Raw genomic sequence first — 21,179 nt, 5'->3', positions numbered from 1 at the left:
AGGAGAATCACTGGAACCCGGGAGGCAGAGGTTGCAGTGAGCCAAGACTGTGCCATCGCACTCCAGCCTGGGTAACAAGAGCAAAACTCTGTCTCAAAAAATAAATAAATAAAAATAAAAATAAATAATAATTATTCTAGGCTGGGTACAGTGGCTCACATCTGTAATTCCAGAACTTTGTGAGTCTGAGGCAGGACTGCTTGAGTCCAGGAGCAAAAGGCCAGCCTGGACAACACAGTGAGATCTCATCTGTACCTCCCCTCTACCCCCTCAAAATTAGCCAGGTGTGGTGGCGCACACCTGTAGTCCCAACTATTCAGAAGGCTGAGGTAGGGAGGATGGCTTGAACCCAGGAGGTTGAGGCTGCAGTGAGCCATGATCATGCCGCTGCACTCCAGCTTGGGTGATAGAGCAAGACCCTGTCTCAATAAAATAAAATATAAAATAAACATTATTCTAGATAAACTATCAGTTCATCAATATCCTTAACAAGAAATGTGCACACATAATCTATGCACTAGAGGATGAATGACAACACTTAAACACCTGTGGAGAGGGGGACATAAAGATATACTGTAACCTCCAAGTTCAACTTGAATGAAGAAGATACCTAATAACACTCAATGTCACCTGCAGCCTACAAGAATTTTCTGATAAAAGAACTACCTGCAATGCTACCTGCAGAAACAACAGGCTGTTTACTGTAGGAAGGCAGGTATGGTCATGGTCTTCTGCCCTCACATGCCTGAATGCTTGTGCACTCATTCCTTAGACACTTCATGACAGGTGTTAGCCCAACTCTCTTGCTGTCTGTCTAGAAATCCCGAGAGGTCCTGAACAAAAGCACTATGTGAACTGGCTGTCTAAAATCAAGCTGCCACCCAAAGCAGCACTGCCTGCCACTTTCAGCCAACTCTGAATCCCAAGAGGTGGATAAGGAGCCAGGGAAAATGAGAAGTTGGTACAACCAAGCAGAGTCCAGTGTTATGAATCACCCTTTACTACAGAGCACTTACCACATGCCAGTTATCATGCTGATCACTTTACATATACTACATACTCTAACCTCACAACTGCACTATGGGTGGTATTATGATCATCCTCTCATTTTACAGATGAGAAAACTGAGGTTCAGAAGTTACAAAAGAGAGGCCAGGCACGGTGGCTCACGCCTATAATCCCAACACTTTGAAAGGCCAAGGTGGGTGGATCACCTGAGGTCAGGAGTTCAAGTCCAGCCTGGCCAACATGGTGAAACCCCATCTCTACTAAAATAAACATTAGCTGGGCGTGGTGGTGTATGCCCGTAATCCCAGCTACTCGGGAGGCCAAGGCAGGAGAATCGCTTTAACCCGGGAGGTGGAGGTTGCATTGAGCCCAGATCACACCACTGCACTCCAGCTTGGACAACAGAGCAAGATCCGTCTCAAAAAAAAAAAAAAAAAAAAAAAAAAGTTACAAAAGAGCCAGGAGGTAATGAAGCTGGAATTCTAAATCTTTCTGTGCTACGAACCCTATACCATCTGAACATACATAAGGTCATAAACCAAAGTTATAATCAAGATGGCTAACTGAACTATGCCTTTGTACGACCCCTGAACTAATGAGATGTGACAACACTGAAGCACGAGGTTAAAACATATAGGTATATTTCCAATTTAGAACAAATTAAGAACTAAACTACTTTAATCCATAGAAATAAACCATGATTTGTGACAAAAATAATTATAAACCCATTGTAGGACACATATCAGAAGGTTCCCTTAAAACTGCCAAATGATAAATGTTTATTTTTCAAATTCGAGAGAATTAAAATGAGTCGTTTAGAGCACCTCTCATAATTAAAGAGCCTGAGATGTGGCAAATAATGGGCTGGTTATCAGAGCTTAGGGTGTTTTGCTTTGAGAGACAGCATCTCATTCTGTTGCCCAGGCTGGAGTGCGGTGACACCATCACAGCTCACTGCAACCTTGAACTCCTGGGCACAAGTGATCCTCCTACCTCAGCCTCCAGAGTAGCTAGGACTACAGGTGTGCACCACCATACCCAGCTAATTTAGAACTTACGGTTTTAAAGCCACAGGCTAGATTTCCTACATGGCCTAAACATACTCCATGTGGTACTGTCTGTCTCCTGCTCTTTCTCTTTAGAAAATTTAAGATTCTTATGGCCGGGAGAGGTGGCTCACGCCTGTAATCCCAGCACTTTGGGAGGCCGAGGCGGGTGGATCACGAGGTCAGGAGATCGAGACCATCCTGGCTAACATGGTGAAACCCCGTCTCTACTAAAAATACAAAAAAATTAGCCGGGTGTGGTGGCAGGCGCCTGTAGTCCCAGCTACTCAGGAGGCTGAGGCGAGAGAATGGTGTGAACCCGGGAGGCGGAGCATGCAGTGAGCCGAGATCACGCCACCGCACTCCAACCTGGGCGACAGAGCCAGACTCTGTCTCAAAAAAAAAAAAGAAAATTTAAGATTCTCTCTTGAAGGCTAAGGCAGCAGAAACTCCTACTAAGGGCCGGACATGGTAGCTCACTCCTGTAATCCAGCACTTTGGGAGGCTGAGGTAGGCAGATCGCTTTGACCTCAGGAGTTCGAGATCAGCCTGGGCAATATGGCAAAACCCCGTCTCTACAAAAATACAAAATTAGCCAGGCACGTGTCTGTAGCCACAGCTACTTGGGAGGCTGAGGCATGAGAGTGGCTTGAGCCCCAAAAACGGAGGTTGCAGTGAGCCGAGATCGCACCACTGCACTCCAGCCTAGGAGACAGAATGAGACCCTGTCTCAAAAAAGGAAAAAAAAAAAAAAAAACTCCAACTAGGGAAGCTGGAAGGAGTCCCCTGATAATCCGTATCAATCAACAGGCTAAATGAGAAGTATTGTTGATGGGAAAAAAAAAAATCCTCCTAGGCACTGCCACCAAATCCTCTTTTTGCCATATACTCCATTAAGCCAAGACCAGAGCTGCTGTAACTTAAGACTTTGTTTCAGATGAGAAGTTGTGTGAAAACAACAAAGATGCACTCAACATTCACTTTGTGCCAGCCCCAGTTCTTTTTTTTTTTTTTTGAGATGGAGTCTCACTCTGTCGCCCAGGCTGGAGTGCAGTGGTGCGATCTCGGCTCACTGCAAGCTCCGCCTCCCAGTTCACGCCATTCTCCTGCCTCAGCCTCCCAAGTAGCTGGGACTACAGGCGCCCGCCACCACGCCCAGCTAATTTTTTTGTATTTTTAGTAGAGACGGGGTTTCACCATGTTAGCCAGGATGGTCTCCATCTCCTGACCTCGTGATCCGCCCGTCTTGGCCTCCCAACTTGCTAGGATTACAGGCATGAGCCACCGCACCCGGCCACCAGCCCCAGTTCTAATCACCTTACATGCATTAACTTATTTAATCCCTAGATGTGTGTGAGAGTACGTTAAAACACAGAGAGGTTAAGCCACTTGTTCAAGTACACCTTAGAAAGTGATGGAGCCGAAATGCAACCCCCGGTAGTCTGCTTCCAGAATACTATGTTATACTGCTACATTATACTGCTTCATGTCCAGTCGAGTCTCAATCACTGGGCTGGGCACAGTGGCTCACATGTGTAATCCCAGCACTCTGGGAGGCCGAGGCGGGCGGATCACCTGAGGTGAGGAGTTCAAGACCAGCCTGGCCAACATGGTGAAACCCCATTTCTACTGAAAATACAAAAATTAGCCAGGCGTGGTGGCACATGCTTGTAATCCCAGTTACTCGGGAGGCTAAGGCAGGAGAATCACTTGAACCCAGGAGGCGGAGGTTGCAGTGAGCACCTCTGTGCTACAGCCTGGGCGACACAGCGAGACTCCATCTGAAAAAAAAAAAAAAAAAAGTCTCAATCAGTGGATAAATCGCACCCCTGCGCTACAGCCTGGGCGAACCAGTGAGACTCCATCTCAAAAAAAAAAGTCTCAATCAGTGGATAAATAGCCAAAATGTGTAATCAAGTCATCGATCCTTAAACTCACTTTCAATTTTCTTGAATACCCCAACTCTCTTGAGAGCGAGACTCTTCAATAACCCTTGGTTTGTACTCATTAATTGTTTTAATTTTTTTTTCTAGCTAGGTTATGAACCTATACACTCATTTTAGAATGCAGTTCCCCATGTTTCTACTACTACCCTTCTGAGGGTGATAAGGAAAAAGTACTGAAATTGAAGTTTCCAGCAAGAATGGCATGATTCCAGCCATAAGTTATACAGTTGAGCTCTGGCTAGGATGCTGGATACTCCTCAATGAAGTGTTTTTGGGGTGATAGTTGTTTAGGTAACACTACAACCTTCAACCTACAGATTATTGGTTTTGTTGCTTGGAATGCACACAATTTAAGTACTAAAGTGTTTCAGATAGTATTATGTCTTTACTACCAATTTAAGTTTCCAACAAACTAGGTTCTTCAATTTTTTCCATCATGGCCTCACAAATAGCATTCTCATCACTAAAAACATAAGCTTTCTCTGTTGCTTTTTTTTTTTTTTTTGAGGCAGGATCTCTCTGTCGCCCAGGTTGCAGTGCAGTGGCACAATCACGGCTCACTGTAGCTTTGACCTCCCAGGCTCAAGCAATCCTCCCACTTTAGCCTTCCAAATAGCTGGGACAATAGGCATGTGCCACTACACCCAGCTAATTTTTAACAATGTTTTGTAGAGATGAGGTCTTGCTATGTTACCCAGGCTGGACTCAACTCCTGGGCTCAAGTGATCCTCCTGTCACAGCCTGCAAAAGTGCTGGAATTACAGGTGTGAGCCATCACACCTGGCTTCCCTATTGCTCTAATTTTAATCACAAGGACAGACCACATTTGAGATTTGGTTTCCTATATATACCTTCAAAAACACTCTTGTATCTTCAATAACCCAAACTCTCTTAATTTTGTTGACACACACACAAAAAAACACTATTTCATAAAACTTCACGTATTCCACAGCTTTCATTCCTCACACCAGAAAAAGTCAATGTTTAAAGGAATTTTCACATCAGATGATAACAGAACCCTTTTTCTTTGCACTTTAGAAAGACTGATAGTGTCATACAAAAAGGTGAGTAAGGCTGGGCGCAGTGGCTCATGCTTATAATCCCAGCAATTTGGCAGGTCCAGGTGGGAGGCTCACTTGAGGCAAGGAGTTCAAGAGCAGCCTGAGCAACACAGCAAGACCCCATCTTTACGAACAGAGTTTGTTATTTTTTTAATTAGCCGAACATGGTGGCAGGTGCCTGTAGTCCAGCTACTCAGAAGGCTGAGGTGAGAGGATTGCTTAAGCCCAGGAGTTCAAAGCTGCAATGAGCTCTCATCGTACCACTGTACTCCAGCCTGAGCAACAGAACAGAACCCTAAGTCTCAAAAAAATAAAAATTTAAAAATAGGCCAGGCATAGTGGCTCACACCTGGAATCCCAGTGCTTTGGGAGGCCGAGATAGGTAAATTGCTTGAGTCCAGGAGTTCAAGACCAGCCTGGGGAATGTTGCAAAACCCTGCCTCTACAAAAAAAAAAAAAAAAAAATAGCCAGCTGTGGTGGTGGTAGTTCCAGCTACTAAAGAGAACTGAGTTGGGAGGATCACTTCGGCACAAGAGATCGAGGCCGCAGTGAGCCATGATTGTACCACTACACTCCAGCGTAGGTGACAGAGGGAGACCTTGTCTCCAATAAGAGGAGAGGGGAGGGGGGGGAGGGGAGAAAAAGGAAAGAAAAAAAGAAAAAGAAAAAGGAAAGGAAAGGAAAGGGGAAAGGAGAATAAAAATTTCAGAGAAATAAATACCTCTCCCAGAGTTATCTTCTATAAGGGCACTTTAGTGACTAATTTGGCCAAATAATAGACAATAAGCATCACACCAGCATACTTGAGAACATAAAATGCTAATCCCTGCATACCAAATGCCAACAGTCTGAGAGGGCTAGTACTCACAACTGGGCAACCAATGAAAGGGATTAACATTTTAACACAATACTTCTTACTCCCCTCCCCAAGTCCCAGTGCAAGGGCACACAAAGCAGAAGGAAATAATATGTACCCTCAATCTCCCAGAGACTTGACAACAAAGAAAGCCAAGGGCATATGACAGGGCTAGAAATACACTTTGCAGGAAGGGTGGAACGAAAGGCTCTGCCTGACAGTGCTTGCTGGCTGCCCCCTTCTCCTAGACAGAAATGGTGATGGTACAGACTAACAGATTCATACCTTCATACCTGTTGGAAATTATTTCTCCAGATAGACAGCTGCTGCCTAAGTGATACCCTGATCGGTCACCACAGCCACAAAGCTCAGTACTGCTGCAGAGCATCCTACTGTTTAACAGCTTGATCTAGGCACCAGGAAAAGGCTAGAGGGACCTTGGTTATCATCTTGAGCAACTTCACGAAGGCACACATACCCAACAATATTTGACAAAGCAAGCTAGCAGAAAATTCCTTTATTTCCATCCCCTAGGCCTACAAGTACCAGCCAATGATAAATAAAAGACATTTCACATCAAGAGTCGGAATAGCAAAGAGTTACAAAAAAACTCAAAGTACTTCGGAGTAACCTTCTCAGAGGCACACACACACTCAGGCTCTACTAAGAGTTGCCAAGCAGATCGTGGTGACTCAGAATCCATACCAATTTGGTCTGTAAGTAAAACTGGGGGAAAGGATAGACAAAGACTTTTTTTTTTTTTTTTTTTTTTTTAAATTTAGACAGGGTCTCACTATTTACCCCATGCTCATTTCAAACTCCTGGGCTCAAGTGATCCTCCAGCCTTGGTCTCCCAAAGTGGTGGGATTATAAGCTTGAGCCATAGTGCCCGGCCTACAAACACATTTTATCTTCCACAAATATTTATTTTATTTATTTATTTATTTATTCAATTTTATTGTTTTCTTGAGACAGAGTCTTGCTCTGTCAGCAGGCTGGAGTGCAGTGGTGCAATCTTGGCTCACTGCAACCTCCACCTCCTGGGTTCAAGCAATTATCCTGCCCCAGCCTCCCAAGTAGCTGGGACTACAGGCGTGCGCCACCACACCTGGCTAATTTTTTTGTATTTTAGTAGAGACGGGGTTTCACCTTGTTGGTCAGGATGGTCTTGCTCTCCTGACCTCATGATCCGCTCGCCTCAGCCTCCCAAAATATTTACTTTATTCACCCTGAGGAGACAGGACTTCTTCCCTCACATTCTTATGTCTCTCATAAGATTGTTTACTATGTCATAAGGAGTTTAATCCACATCCATTTCCTTAAAGAATTAGTTTTATTAAACTTCAGATATAAAAATAAATTTATTTTCTTATAATTATAATTGAAGGCCAGGCACGGTGACTCGTGCGTGTCATCCCAGCACTTTGGGAGGCCAAGGTGGGCAGATCACCTAAGGTCTGCAGTTCAAGACCAGCCTGGCCAACATAGTGAAACCCCATCTCTACTAATAATACAAAAATTGGCAGGACATGGTGGCTCACGCCTGCAGTCCCAGCACTTTGGGAGGCCAAGGCAGTCGGATCACCTGAGGTCAGGAGTTCCAGACCAGCCTGGCAAACATGGTGAAACCCCATCTCTACTAAAAATACAAAAATTAGCCAGGTGTGGTGGCGGGCACCTGTAATCCCAGCTATTTGGGAGGCTGAGGCAGGAGAATCACTTGAACCCAGGAGGTAGAGGTTGCAATGAGCTGAGATCGTGCCACCGCACTCCAGCCTGGGCAACAGAGCGAGACTCCATCTCAAAAAAAAAAAAAAAGAAAAAAAATTTACCCAAGCATGGTGGCGCATATCTGTAGTCCCAGCTACCTGGGAGGCTGAGACAGGAGGATCTCTGGAACCCGGGTGGCGGAGGTTGCAGTGAGCCAAGATTACGCCACTGCACTCCAGCCTGGCTGGACTCCGTCTCACACACACACACAAAATTTATAATTGGAAATTACTTGACATGTGGAGGAGGGTAAGAGAGAGAAAGAAGGACACTGAATTTCAAATTAATTCAAATGCTACCAAGTGCTAGGTACTATAGTAAGTGTTCTGGATACATTATTCGCCAAGAGTCACAACTTAAATGTATGTCACTCCTCAAGAAGTTTCCCTGACCACCCCTCTAAAATTGCCACCATGATGCATTCTCCCAATACCCTGCTTCATTTTCTTTATAGCACTCAGCTATCAGCTATTACATTGAGTATTTAGCACAGAGGCGAACGACTTAATCACATTCACTGCTTATGAATTAATGAGTGTTCTCAAAATTGGACAGACTGTCAGAATAGGATCCACCGAAAGCACACAGATTGGAAGCTTTTTTCTTCTCTCCAAAATTGGCATGTAGCAGTTTCTGACACATGGTTAGTACAGTTGTCCCTTGGTGTCCACAGGGGATTGGTTCCAGGACCCACAAGGACACAAAAATCTCAGGATGCTCAAGTCCCTTATATAAAATCACATGGTATTTGCATACAACCTACACACATCCTCCAACATACTTTAAACCATCTCTAGATTACTTATATCTAATACCTAATAAAGACTATATAAATAGTTAACTGTACTTTTTTGTTTTTTGAGACGGGGTCTCACTCTGTCACCCCAGGCTAGAGTGCAGCAGAGTGATCACAGCTCACTGCAGTCTCAATCCAGACTCAAGTAATCCTCTCATCTTAGCCTCCCAAGTTGATAGCCACCACACTTGGCTAATTTTTTCACTTTTATTTTTTGTAGAGATGGGGTCTCCCTGTGTTGCCCAGGCTGGTCTCAAACTCCTGGCCTCAAGCAATCCTCCCACCCGGGCCTCCCAAAATGTTGGGATTACAGAGTAAGCCACCACTCCTGGCCTGTATTATTTTTTATTGTTGCAGTGTTAATGCATTTTTTTCCTGAATATGTCCAATCAGCATTTGGTTGAATCTATGGGTGTGGAACCTGTGGATACAGAGTGTCAACTGTATTTGGTAAGTGATTCAGTGATGGACACTGAACAAATGGTCAATGAGAATCCTCTTAAGTCTAGGGGATATGGTCCTAAGCCTGTCATTCTTTAAGGATCTGACAAGCTTAAACTACTAACAAGATAAGGATACATCAAAAGTCTTCTCTAATGAGTGCTTGCTCCCAAAGCATTTAGAGCATGTCATCTCCATACCCATAAGAGGAGAACTTGGCCAAGAAGAGAAAAGTACGTATAATGAGCCACACTGAGTTAAACAAAGCTGAACAAAGCATCAGGCTACAGAAGAAGAAGAGTTCTCATCTAATAACTACTCTTCTCTGGCAGAGCCTTCTTTTAAGATTCTGGGCCTGGCTGGGCACGGTGGCTCATGCCTGTAATCCCAGGACTTTGGGAGGCCGAGGCAGGCAGATCACCTGAGGTCTGGAGTTCGAGAGCAGCCTGACCAACATGGAGAAACCCCATCTCTACTAAAAATACAAAATTAGCCGGCGTGGTGGCGCATGCCTGTAATCCCAGCTACTCAGGGGGCTGAGACAGGAGAATCGCTTGAACCAGGGAGGTGGAGGTAGCAGTGAGCCGAGATCGCACCATTGCAATCCAGCCTGGGCAACAAGAGCAAAACTCCGTCTCAAAAAAAAAAAAAGAAAGAAAGAAAGATTCTGGGCCCACTGTATTCACACTGTTAAGTATAGGCAGTGGGTACATTAAAAAAAAAAAAAAAGAAAAAAAAAACACATCAAACTATATTCCTAAGTTTCTTTTCCTACTTTACAGATGGAGGAACTGAAACAACCCAAAGAAAACAACTTTCCCCAAGGAAGCACCATAACAAGAAGGATTCTACCTATTTATTAATTCCTCTCAAAACTACCAGGTAGGGTTCTATTAAAGACATAGATGAAAAATCTAGGTGGCAAGCTGAGTAACTCCAGATAGTTCAAACGTAAGGTGAGTACAGATTCTGATTCACCAGCTCTGACTATACGCAGCCAAGGACTTGAGTATGCAACTCCAATTGGCAAAAAACAATGATGAATGCAATAGACACCAACAATCCACTCCTCTCTCTTCCCTGATAGCTCTCTTTTGGAAGTAGCCCCTGCAGGCAGGATCTGATGCCACAGAAGTCACCATCAGAGGTCTTCACCCTAGGTCTGGGTGTAACTATTGACCTAGAATTTCTGTGCTAGGCAGATCCTTGGGGTCACAGACAATCAAGGATCATTCTTTGCATCAGGATTACCATCTCAGTCACACTCCAAAAGGAAACACTCCAGATGTGTCTTTTTTTTTTTTTTCCAACTATTGTCTTTGGAATCTAGTCCAAAAGCAACTGGGCTCTAGCTTTTAAAATGCACTCTGTGCCCATTAAGTTTTGTAGAGAAAGCTTTCCAGCCTTTTTAAAGATTTTCCTCACAACCGATGGTTGGAATACAGTATGCTCCACAGATAGACTTCTTGTACCTTTCCAAAGTAAAATCATTTGAAACCCTCCCTCCCCATATATAAAAAAATATATCCTTCCAGCATCATTTGACCGAAGTATAAAGCAACCTGGTTGGCCTCCATGCATCCGATGGCATCTTCCAAGAGTGAAAACTCCACGCAGACATAGCCATAGTCGTAACCTGGGGACAGCATTTAAATACAGACGGGAGTGGTGTTAGTGCCTTGCAAACACAAAAGACACACTTAAATCCCCTGTTTCTGAACCCCTTAAACACAAGCCCTCCCAACTAACCCCTCCCTCCCCTACACTAGGTAAAGTTGCTACCCCAAATAGAAAAAAGTATTGAAGAAAAGTCTCGATGTTTCTGGACTTTGAGATTCATTCCAAAACAGCCTTTTCTATTAACCAAGAAGATCCTTTGCCCTCTTTAGCACTGGTGATCTGGTGAAGGTACCCCAGAATTGGGTAATCCCACAGAGAGTTCACGTGGGGACCCGAAACATTTTAACCACAGGCTAAATCTTCTGGAAAAACAAAGTCGACAAGAGCAAGAAAGTATCTGGAAAAAAAAAAAAAAAAAGGTATCCCGAGAGAAGAAAAAAAAGCAATTATCCCCAGGCTATGCTAATAGTCACCACTTTTCAAGCAGAAACCACCTTCAAAGACAGAAGTGCTGACAGACTGAGGCAACTATTCTGTTTGGATACCACAGGAGGCTTCTGGTTGGCAGGGGACAGACCATTTCAGGTCTCCTCTTTTTTTCCTTGTTTCAACTCAAGTCATAAACCAGCTAAAATCTTTATAAAAGGAAGAAGGTGTAAAAGCATAAATAAGTACAAATAACTATGTCCAAAATTGTGCTTATGCACAAAGACTGGTGGTGGGGCAAGCTGGGAGAAAGACAGCAGTTGTTAGCAATCAATACATGTTTAAGAACTGTACAAACCATTAGAGCTATAAAATACCCTTCACCTTACTCCTAAGCAAGTGTCATTTGCAGCACAGGCCTGAGAGTTGTATGACTCACGAGACTGGGAAGTCCTGGGATTTATAGGTTGCTGAACTAGAATCTAACCAGTCCTATAATTTCCCTGACACTGCCACCATGTGACTACAAAAATACACTTGTCAATGCAGTGCTCCCCAAGTGGCTTCCATGCTTCCTCCACTGCCTCAGAGGATAAAGAAGCTCATCTCTAGGAATCACACTGTGTAAATGGAACCGCAAGAAAAAGATGTGATGTTCAGATGAGAAGCAAAACTCAGGCAAAGAAAAACACAAAACCCTATGATAATTTTGACCACAAAGTATATATAACAATAGGAAACTGATATCACTGCATCAATATCAAAGATCAACAAAACTAGAACAATAGAAAGTATAAGTTTAAAAACATACCACATTTGGTGAAATAAGATTCCTTGTCACATGAAATGAATGGCTTCAAAATGTTTTACTAATAACAATAAACTTTGATTTTAGACTTGTTAAATACTCCAAGTTAACTGTGAAACATTACAATGGTATAGGTTGATTCTTGTTTTGAGTTTCAGAAAATGACTAGGAAGAAGAAAAACAATCTACTAGAAACCTCAGCACTACTGTAGGATGAGAAATAGATTTTCTAATCTACTTTTAGTTTTGACCAACGTGGATTAAAACTAACCCCTCCAAACTTACCACAAAATCAGTCTCCTCTGCTTAATAACTCTTTGAAGAAATAAAAATACTTTAGAGAAACAGCATGCATATCCTATTAACAATGGAAACTGCTTTGTTAGTTAATTCCTTTCAAGTGAATCTTCTTGATCAAACTCATTGAACACCTAATACATAAATCACTCTGCATTTTATAAACAGCTCTGAATATTCTTGGGAAACATTACAGAATAACAGAAGGAACTAAGACACCTGTTAGCACCAAATATCCACTGCAAACACTCAAATGCATGTCTACAATCAGAAAGGGTTAGCCATGGAACAAACAGGTGTACTCTCTAGTGTGTTGATTACCTCTACAGAACATATCAATGGAGTACCCAGGTGTGTGGAAAGCAACCCTCTCCATAGCTGCCCGGATGAAAAACATAGAGAACTAATACTAAAACTGGCAAAGCCCTAAGTTTCCTTTCTGTGCTTAAAGAAGTAACTACTGTGGCCCAGAGGAGCACACAGAATCTGTGGACAGAGAGAAAAGATTCATGACAACGTTCATACTTTGCTAAAGGACAAGTAGACATTGGGAAGAAAAAGATACAGAAAACATTATGAGCATCTAATATAGCATTTCTAGACATCAACCCTGCAATACTATATGTTGACAACATACTTCAGATTTAATATTATATTCACAAGCCCAACACTAAATTTATTCTGACTGAAACTTTAGCTATCAAACAAGAACAGAAATTTAAGGTTTAACTATACTGCCTAAAACGTTAAAAAAAAAAAAGGTATTCTGTGTGTTCAAGACTCATGGTTGTGCCATAAGGATTTTCAGCAATTAGCAAACTAGCCTATGAAAGTAAGTAATATTTACATAAAACTTGTTGGTTCAAGATTTTATTCTAAATACTTTGTATATACTGATTTAATATTCACAATACTATCTTAAGAGGTAAATATTATTAACCTGATTTTAGCCATGTAGAAGGCGGCAAAGAAAGGATAGGTAAACTGATCAAAGTAACCAAGTAAGTACCAATACTGAGCTTTAAATGCAAGCAGTCCAGATTCAAGTTGATGTTTTTAACCACTACACTCTAGCCTCTCACTCTTCAATAAGATCATAGACCAATTTAAATAATCTTAATTCTAAACTCTAGAAGCCTAGTTACAGAAAGGGTCCCATATGCCTGAAAACATACATCTATGCCCCTGTTAAGAAATAAGCCTAGTTAAGAAATATTCAATTTAGCAGCATAACAGTTGCTTCTATTTTAAATATCTATGGCAGAACTATTGTGAGTAGACCTGAGTATGCAAATTAGAAAGCATTCTAAGGAGCTGATTATACTAGCTCCCAAAATTCTTCTGAAAAGACGAAAACTAAAATGTCTTATTATAAATGACAGCTACAAAAATTGTATAGCAATATGGAAAGATACTTGATATAGTATATTTTAAGAGCCTTAAAAATGAATATACCCTTATGGATAATTATGTAAAATGTATATAGGGAAAAAGGGCTGGAATTAAATTGCATCTAACTCAAGGGTTAGAGACAAAAGTCAGCATGTAAGATAAAAACCATGCACTGTCAAAAATCATACTTGAAGACCCCAAGGTGAAGAACAACATACCATCTTTCAATTTAGGTAAGTCCAACATTGCCAGTTTTTCCTCCAGCGCTGCAACAGATCACTTTTCCTTTGGTTGACACCAGATGAAGAGGTTGGCTTGCATTTAAGGGCCATAAGGTATGAAAATATATTGCTTTAAATAACAGAATCACAGCCAGCACAGTGAATGCCCACTCAGAGAAACTTAGAAAAGGAGACAAACTGAAGCCACAGGCGAGTCTCATCCCCACTGCCCATGCTCACTCCAGGAGTGAGAAAACAGGGTGTGGGAAGTGGGGAGGGGGATACAGTTCAAATAAGCACAGGTGGACATACAAAAATCAGAAAATGCATATAATGCAACACAACTGTATACCAAAATGTTTACAGTGGTTGTATTGCTATAGTGGGATAATCAGGGATTTTTTTCTTTATTTCCCAAATGTAATTTTACAATTCACAGAAAAGGCACAGAAGATATTCTACCCAAAGACCTAAACATTCTGCCAACCAACTTTGAGATTAGAATTGCTAGGAACCATATGGAATCATCAAGATGGTAAACTCAGTGTTAACCTTCCCATGGACAGACTTATTTTTACCAATGAGAGTAACAAAAAAATCTACTTTATTACCCCTTTCTTCCACTGTCACATGCTGGGAAGAAGTCTGGAGGGTCTTTGTGCTTATTTATATGACTATTACAAAACACAGTTAACTAAATTTTCTAACCTAAATTTACAGATCTCATAGAAATGTGAATACTCCTTATACTTTTTTTTTTTTTTTTGAGACAGAGTCTTGCTTTGTCACCCAGGCTGGAATGCAATGGCACACAATCTCGGCTCATTGCAACCTCTGCCTCTCAGGCTCAAGCAATTCTCCTGCCTCAGGTACCTGCAGTAGCTGGGACTACCACGCCCGGCTAATTTTTGTATTTTCAGTAGAGACGGAGTTTCGCCACGTTGGCCAGGCTGGTCTCGAACTCCTGAGCTCAGGTGATCTGCCTGCCTCAGTGCTGGGATTACAGGCGTGAGCCACCGCACCCGGCCTCCTTATATTTTTTTTTAGGCAAATGAGAAGAATGAGAACAGGGCAAGGGGAAAAAATCTATAAAGGTAACAAATTTCACGTCTTCTCTATCTTCATTAACCATGTGGTTGCCTGTTTCCCAAAAATGTATCTATGATAAAAGCCAACCAGGTGGTTACAGGAGAATAAGGTACACAAAACAAAACCCTGATAAATAGTATTCAATCTCAGAACTAACTCTTCAATCTCTGCCCCTAGAAAAGCTGACTCACGAGATACTGACAAACATAACCCTGTATGGTTTAAGTCAATTATTAGTCTATAACAGGCCCAATTTTCATAATAATTATAAGGAATATTTGTTTAGGTAAATGAGATGGATCTTCAAACTGTTCTAGGAAAACCCAATGAACATACCCAAATCCAGCTGAATTTCCCATCAAGAGAGTATTGGTTGACATTGAAAAAGCCCAGAATACACATCCAGAAAGTAAAACGGGGAATCAGGATTTTAAAGAACACAATTAGCAGGAAGGTTTTTTTTTCTCCTTTCTTTTAAGAAGCCTTTGTCAGAAGGAGTTTATTTTACTGCTATCTTTGAGAGGAAAACACACACACACACACACACACACACCCCACAGCCTTTTTCTCCAAACAAAAAGTATTATTTTTGTGAGAACAAAGCATTTTGAATATAAAAGGCACCATGAAACATCAATAGATTGAAGAGGTCTTAACTTCTATAGGTCCTGTTTTCCTAATTCCATTTCATTGATAATACAGGTTTTTAGAAAAGTAAAATATCAAGTTAGAGATTTTAGCAAAACCGAAACAGAATTGATCCAGGTATCTGAATTCCTGTCAGTGGGAATAACAGAATAAAGGAGGCTTTGTGCGCAAGATTTCCAACAGGTACTTTGCTCTGTTAAAATCTCATGCGAGGCTGGGTGTGGTGGCTCGTGGATATAATCCCAGCACTTTAGGAGACCAAGGTAGGAGGATTACTTGAGCTCAGGAGTCCCAGCCTCGGCAATATAATGAGACCTTGTCTCTACAAAAAAAAACAGAAAAAATTAGCCAGGTGTGGGAGCACGCACCTATAGTCCCAGCTACTTAAGAGGCTGAGGTGGGAGGCTCACTTGAGCCTGAGAAGCCAAGGCTACAGTGAGCCATGACTGGCCTACTGCACTCCAGCCTGAACAACAGAGTGAGACCCTGTCTCAAAACAAACAAACAAACACACAATCCCACTCGAATTACGAAAATTAGGAAAATATCTGACTCATATGTCAAATTATCATCAGGGAAGGATAAAATTGGTCCACATGAAACCCATCACCTTGAAATCTTTTTTTTTATTTGAGATGGAGTTTCACCTTTGTCGCCCAGGCTAGAGTGCAATGGCACTATCTCGGCCCACTGCAACCTCTGCCTCCTGGGTTCAAGTGATTCTCCTGCCTCAGGCTCCCGAATAGCTGGGATTACAGGCGTGCAGATTATTAGGCATGAGCAACTGTGTCCAGCCCATCACCTTGAAATCTTATAAACACTTTCAATTATTTCTCCTTCAGCTATGCATACAAGGGTTGTTTTTTTTTTTAAAGAAAAATGAAAAAAGGAAGATATACACTGATGATTATTTCTTAAATTTTTTTTTCTTTTGAGACAGAGTCTCACTCTGTCACCCAGGCTGGAGTGCAGTGGCGCAATCTCGGCTCATTGCAACTACCGCCTACCAGGTTCAAGCAATTCTCCTGCCTTAGCCTCCTGAGTAGCTAGGTTTACAGGCATGCGCCACCATGCCCAGCTAATTTTTGTACTTTTAGTAGAGATGGGGTTTCATCATGATGGCCAGACTGGTCTTAAACTCCTAACCTCGAGTTATCCACACGCCTTGGCCTCCCAAAGTGCTGGGATTATAGGAGTGAGCCACCTGACCTAAATTTTCAAAAACTACACGTGGATCTATCTTATTTTATTCTGTATCTGTGCCAACTGGTTATTTAAAGAAAAAAATTTGTTTGTTTTTTGCTTTAAGTCCAAAATTAATCGCAGGGCCACTCCATCTTGATGATGGTTCCTCAGGCCCAGGATAACATTTGTTAGGAAACACTCGCCCTTACTCAATTTATTTCAATTCCACTGGCAGTAATGGTGTCATATGAGCACAATGAAGAGCAACGTCTTTGCCCCAGAGTTTAATCTAATGGAAGTCATGACAAGTACAAACGGTCATAGATCACCTCAAGATGCTACATAAGTCAAAAGGGGGAGTAATTATTCTTTAAAGAGCCAGTAATCAATCTCATTCAACTTTTGTTCACTTAAAAACAAACAAACAAATATACTCAATCTGCAAAGCAACAATCAGGAAAAAGAGAACCTTTGCAAATCTGCTTTTCCCCAAGCAAGAACACTTCAGTCTGGCAGAAAAGATGGTGCAGGCATGACAGAAGGATCAACCAGAACAGCAGCATCAATACTGCAGAACTGTCTATGCAGAGAGGTGACACCAAAAAAACAGAGGTCCCAGATGAGGGACTGTGATCTTCTTTCATTTCTGTATCCCTAAACCTAGCATAATATCAGGTACATCAATTATAATGACCATCATCACTAGAATAACACACAAGAAAAGTAGCTTCTTAGTTCTGTACATTTGCAGAAGCTACAACTAACTCACCATGTGATTGCAGTCAAGCTACGTCTCTCTGGGCCTATGCTATTCCATATGCAAAGCAGCAAAGATGATAAATCCTTTGCAGGGTGGTTTCAGGGATGCAATGAAATAAGCATTATCAGAGATCAAAGATCAGACAGCTGCCTCTGCATTACTGCTTCTCAAATATGTCCCAGTACTTTAGCAGCTGAAAGGCAGTACGAATTTCCTGACTTCTAGTGTATACTAACAACATATCTGCTGCCTCCATAGATTACATGGCTATTTTTATTTTGACTAGGAAGAAAAACATGGCCCATAAACATTTTTTTTCTACTGCCTTAGCCCTGGTGCAAATAAAGGGCAACTCAACACTGTTCTAAAAGGCTCTGGGACCAAGTTCAGTGGCTCACGCCCGTAATCCCAACATTTTGGGAGGCTGAGGCAAGAGGATCGCTTAACCCCAGGAGTCTGAGACCAGCCTGGGCAAACACACTGGGACACTATCTCTACAAAAGGTTTTAAATCAGCCAGGTGTCGTGGTACACACCTGTAATCTCAGCTACTTGGGAGGCTGAAACGGAAGGATTGCTTGAGCCTGGGAGGTTGAAGCTGCAGTGAGCCATGACTTTGCCACTGCATTTCAGCCTGGGCTACAGAGCAAGACTCTGCCTCAAAAAATAAATAAATAAATAAATAAAATAAAATAAAATAAAATAAAATAAAGGCTCTGGGATGATTCCATAAAGCTGGTTTCTAAGCTGGAAGTTTGCTCAGGATGACAGCAAACATAGTGGCCCAGATATTCACCTATTCCAGAAGTGAACATGCATCCAGAGAAGGATGAAACAACTGACATTAGGTGAGACTTGAAACGACCTAGCCATGAGCTAAGGTACATGAGGTTAATACAGCAGAGATGGGTTAAACGGCAACCCCACTGGGCCACTTATGCCCTGTAACCGATATCCAGTGCCCAACTAAAGGCACTAGACACCAGCTGGAGCTGGCTTTTGGGGTCCCATTCTGTGGTATCACAGAAAGATACTTGGTCTGTCCCAGGTTCCTGGCATACAGCTCCTAAAACCCTTGGAATTTCCTGAGTGATAAGGGTGATAGGAGTGTTCTTTGTTCTAATAAGACAACTCTTGGAAAGCCCCTAGATAGCTTCAGGATGAGGGCTACCTAGAAAGACAAAGCCTTGACCAGAAGTTCAGAACTTTCAGTACCACCCACCAACTTCTGATGAGGGGAGAGGGGCTTGAGCAAATCACCCACTGTCAATGATTTAATCAATCCTGCCTACATAATGAGACCTCCATAAAAACAACTACACAAAAGGGCTCAGAGAGCTTCCTGATTGGTGAATACATCTACATGCTGGGACGGTGGCATATTCCACAGGACAGAGACTCCTACACTCAACACTCAGGACCCTCCTGGACTTTGCCCTATCTATCTCCTCATCTGGCTAATTGTATCCTTTATAAAAAACTGATAAACATAAGTATTTCTCTGAGTTTTTTGCAGCCATATTAGAAAGTTATCAAATCTGAAGGGGTAGACTGTGGGAACCTCCAATTTTGTAGCCAAATCAGACATAAGTGTAGGTAACCTTGGGACCTGATAACTGATCATTGCAATTGGTGTCTGAAGTAAGAATGGTCTTATGGGACAAAGCCCTTCAACCTGCGGAGTCTGAAGCTAACTTCTGGTAGTCGGTATCAGAATTACCTGGTATCAAGAGGGGAAAAAAACTTTTATCATCTCTCTGCCTACATGACACAGGAGGCAAACATTGTTCAAAACATCATTCCTGAACATGTTCAGACATCCATCTATCAATTCACCTGGGGCTTGTTTTTCCCCCCACTTAATGCCAGGTCAAGCAAATACCACTGAAATTTCCTTATAGCACTTGTCCTCCAGGCAGCCATTTTAAAACACAGGCCTATTCTTAGTTAAGGTTTCCCCCACAAAAAAAGATTCATTTGATAAATACGTATGTACATCTGTCAAACATATTCATTATCTGATAAACAAAGTACTTTCTAGTGCTCTTTATTAATACAGAGGCTAAAAAGAAAAATTTTATTTTCTATTATAACAAACAATAGTGTTTTAATTACAGCCATGTGCTGCTTAACTACATTTTGATCAACAGCAAACTGCATGCATATGAAACAATGGTTCCATAAGATTATAATGGCACTGAAAAATTCCTATCACCCAGTGACATCATAGCTGTTGTTGATTTGGTGGCACAATGCATTACCTTTTCTATATTTAGATACACAAATGCCGTTGTGTCTCAATTGCCTATGGTGTTCAATACAGTAACACACTGTACAGTTTTGTGGCCGAAGAGTAACAGGCTATACAATATAGCCTAGCTGTATAGTAGGCTATAACATCTAGTTTGTGTAAATATACCCTATGATGTTTACACAATGAAAAAATCACTTGATCCATTTCTCAAAATGTATTCCTGTCATTATGCAATGCATGACTGTATTTAATAATAATACAAATGAAGGAATAGAAAATTCTGTTCCCTCAATGTAGTATTACTCCATAGTTTTAGAAATTAAAATTAAAGGCCAGGTGCAGTGGCTCACAACTGTAATCCCAGCACTTTGGGAAGCCAAGGCGGGCAGATCACTTGAGGTCAGGAGTTCGAGACCAGCGTGGCCAACATGGTGAAACCTCATCTCTACTAAAAATACAAAAATCAGCCAGGCGTGGTGGTGGGCAACTGTAATCCCAGCTACAAGGGAGGCTGAGGCACGAGAATGGCTTGAATCTGGGAGGCGGAGGCTACAGTGAATCGAGATGATGCCACTGCACCACTCCAGCCTGGGTGACAGTGGGAGAGACTCTGTATCAAAATAAATAAATAAAATAAAATAACGTCTGTTAGCAACTTTTTGGGGAAATTTTCTTGGGAGTTTTGACTTAATACTTTATTTCTAGAGTTGGCATATGCACATTAACTCATACTTTGGAGTTGAAGAAACATATCCCTGTACTTACACAAATATTATTATTATTTTATTTATTTATTTATTTATTTTGAGACAGTTTCACTCTTGTGGCCCCAGGCTAGAGTGCAATGGCACAATCTCAGCTGCAACCTCCACCTTCCGGGTTCAAGCGATTCTCCTACCTCAGCCTCCTGAGTAGCTGGGATTACAGGCGTGTGCCACCACACTAGGCTAATTTTTGTTTTATTAGTAGAGATGGGGTTTCACCATGTTGCCCTGGCTGGTCTTGAACTCCTGACCTCAAGTGATCCACCCGCCTCGGCCTCCCAAAGTGCTGGCATTACAGGCATGAGCCACCGGGCCTGGCCCACAAATATTATTTAACCGATTGGCATATAACCTATATTGCTGCCAGAAACTTCTGTAGCATGGAGTACAATATAATATACCTGAATAATATTTTCTTTGACTTTCAGACAAACAAAGGCAGGAAGTTGTTTCGTTTGGTGCACAAACCCAGTTGATAAGTCATTAGGGAAAATCTAATGAAGATTTTGCTATGTGATGATTTTCCTACCCTGTCACAATCATTCAGGGACTTTTAAAAAAAAAATGACATTATCTAGTCATCTTTCACCAGAGCTATGAATTCCTGCTAGTCCACAGCCCACTCAACACAGCTCCTGGACAAGGAGATTTTTTTTTCTTTTTTTTGAGATGGAGTCTCACTCTGTCACCCAGGTTGGAGTGCAGTGGTGCAATCTTGGCTCACTGAAACCTCCACAATCTTCTCAGCTCAGCCTCCGGAGTACCTGGTACCACAGGCGTGTGCCACCACA

At 42.0% G+C, this 21,179-nt stretch overlaps 1 protein-coding gene across 16 annotated transcripts in view; it reads right to left on the bottom strand.

The window, feature by feature from the left end:
• Positions 1-21,179, bottom strand: part of RBM6 (RNA binding motif protein 6) — a 137,100-nt gene that overhangs the window by 67,249 nt on the left and 48,672 nt on the right. For 11 of the 16 annotated variants that reach the window (XM_047447131.1, NM_001349192.2, NM_001349193.2 and 8 more), the window contains one exon: positions 10,488-10,561. The exons of 4 other annotated variants lie outside the window; for them this stretch is intronic. In XM_047447131.1, coding sequence (XP_047303087.1) covers positions 10,488-10,561 — 74 coding nt within the window. Of the gene's footprint in view, positions 1-10,487; positions 10,562-13,686; positions 20,403-21,179 lie in introns of those variants that run through there. One more of the 16 variants, XM_017005497.2, reaches the window with a different exon arrangement.

Source organism: Homo sapiens, chromosome 3, assembly GCF_000001405.40.
Source record: "Homo sapiens chromosome 3, GRCh38.p14 Primary Assembly".
In the NCBI taxonomy this organism is placed as follows: Eukaryota; Metazoa; Chordata; class Mammalia; order Primates; family Hominidae; genus Homo; species Homo sapiens.
The sequence above is the reverse complement of the archived record's forward strand: the minus strand, read 5'-3'. Positions and strand labels throughout refer to the sequence as shown.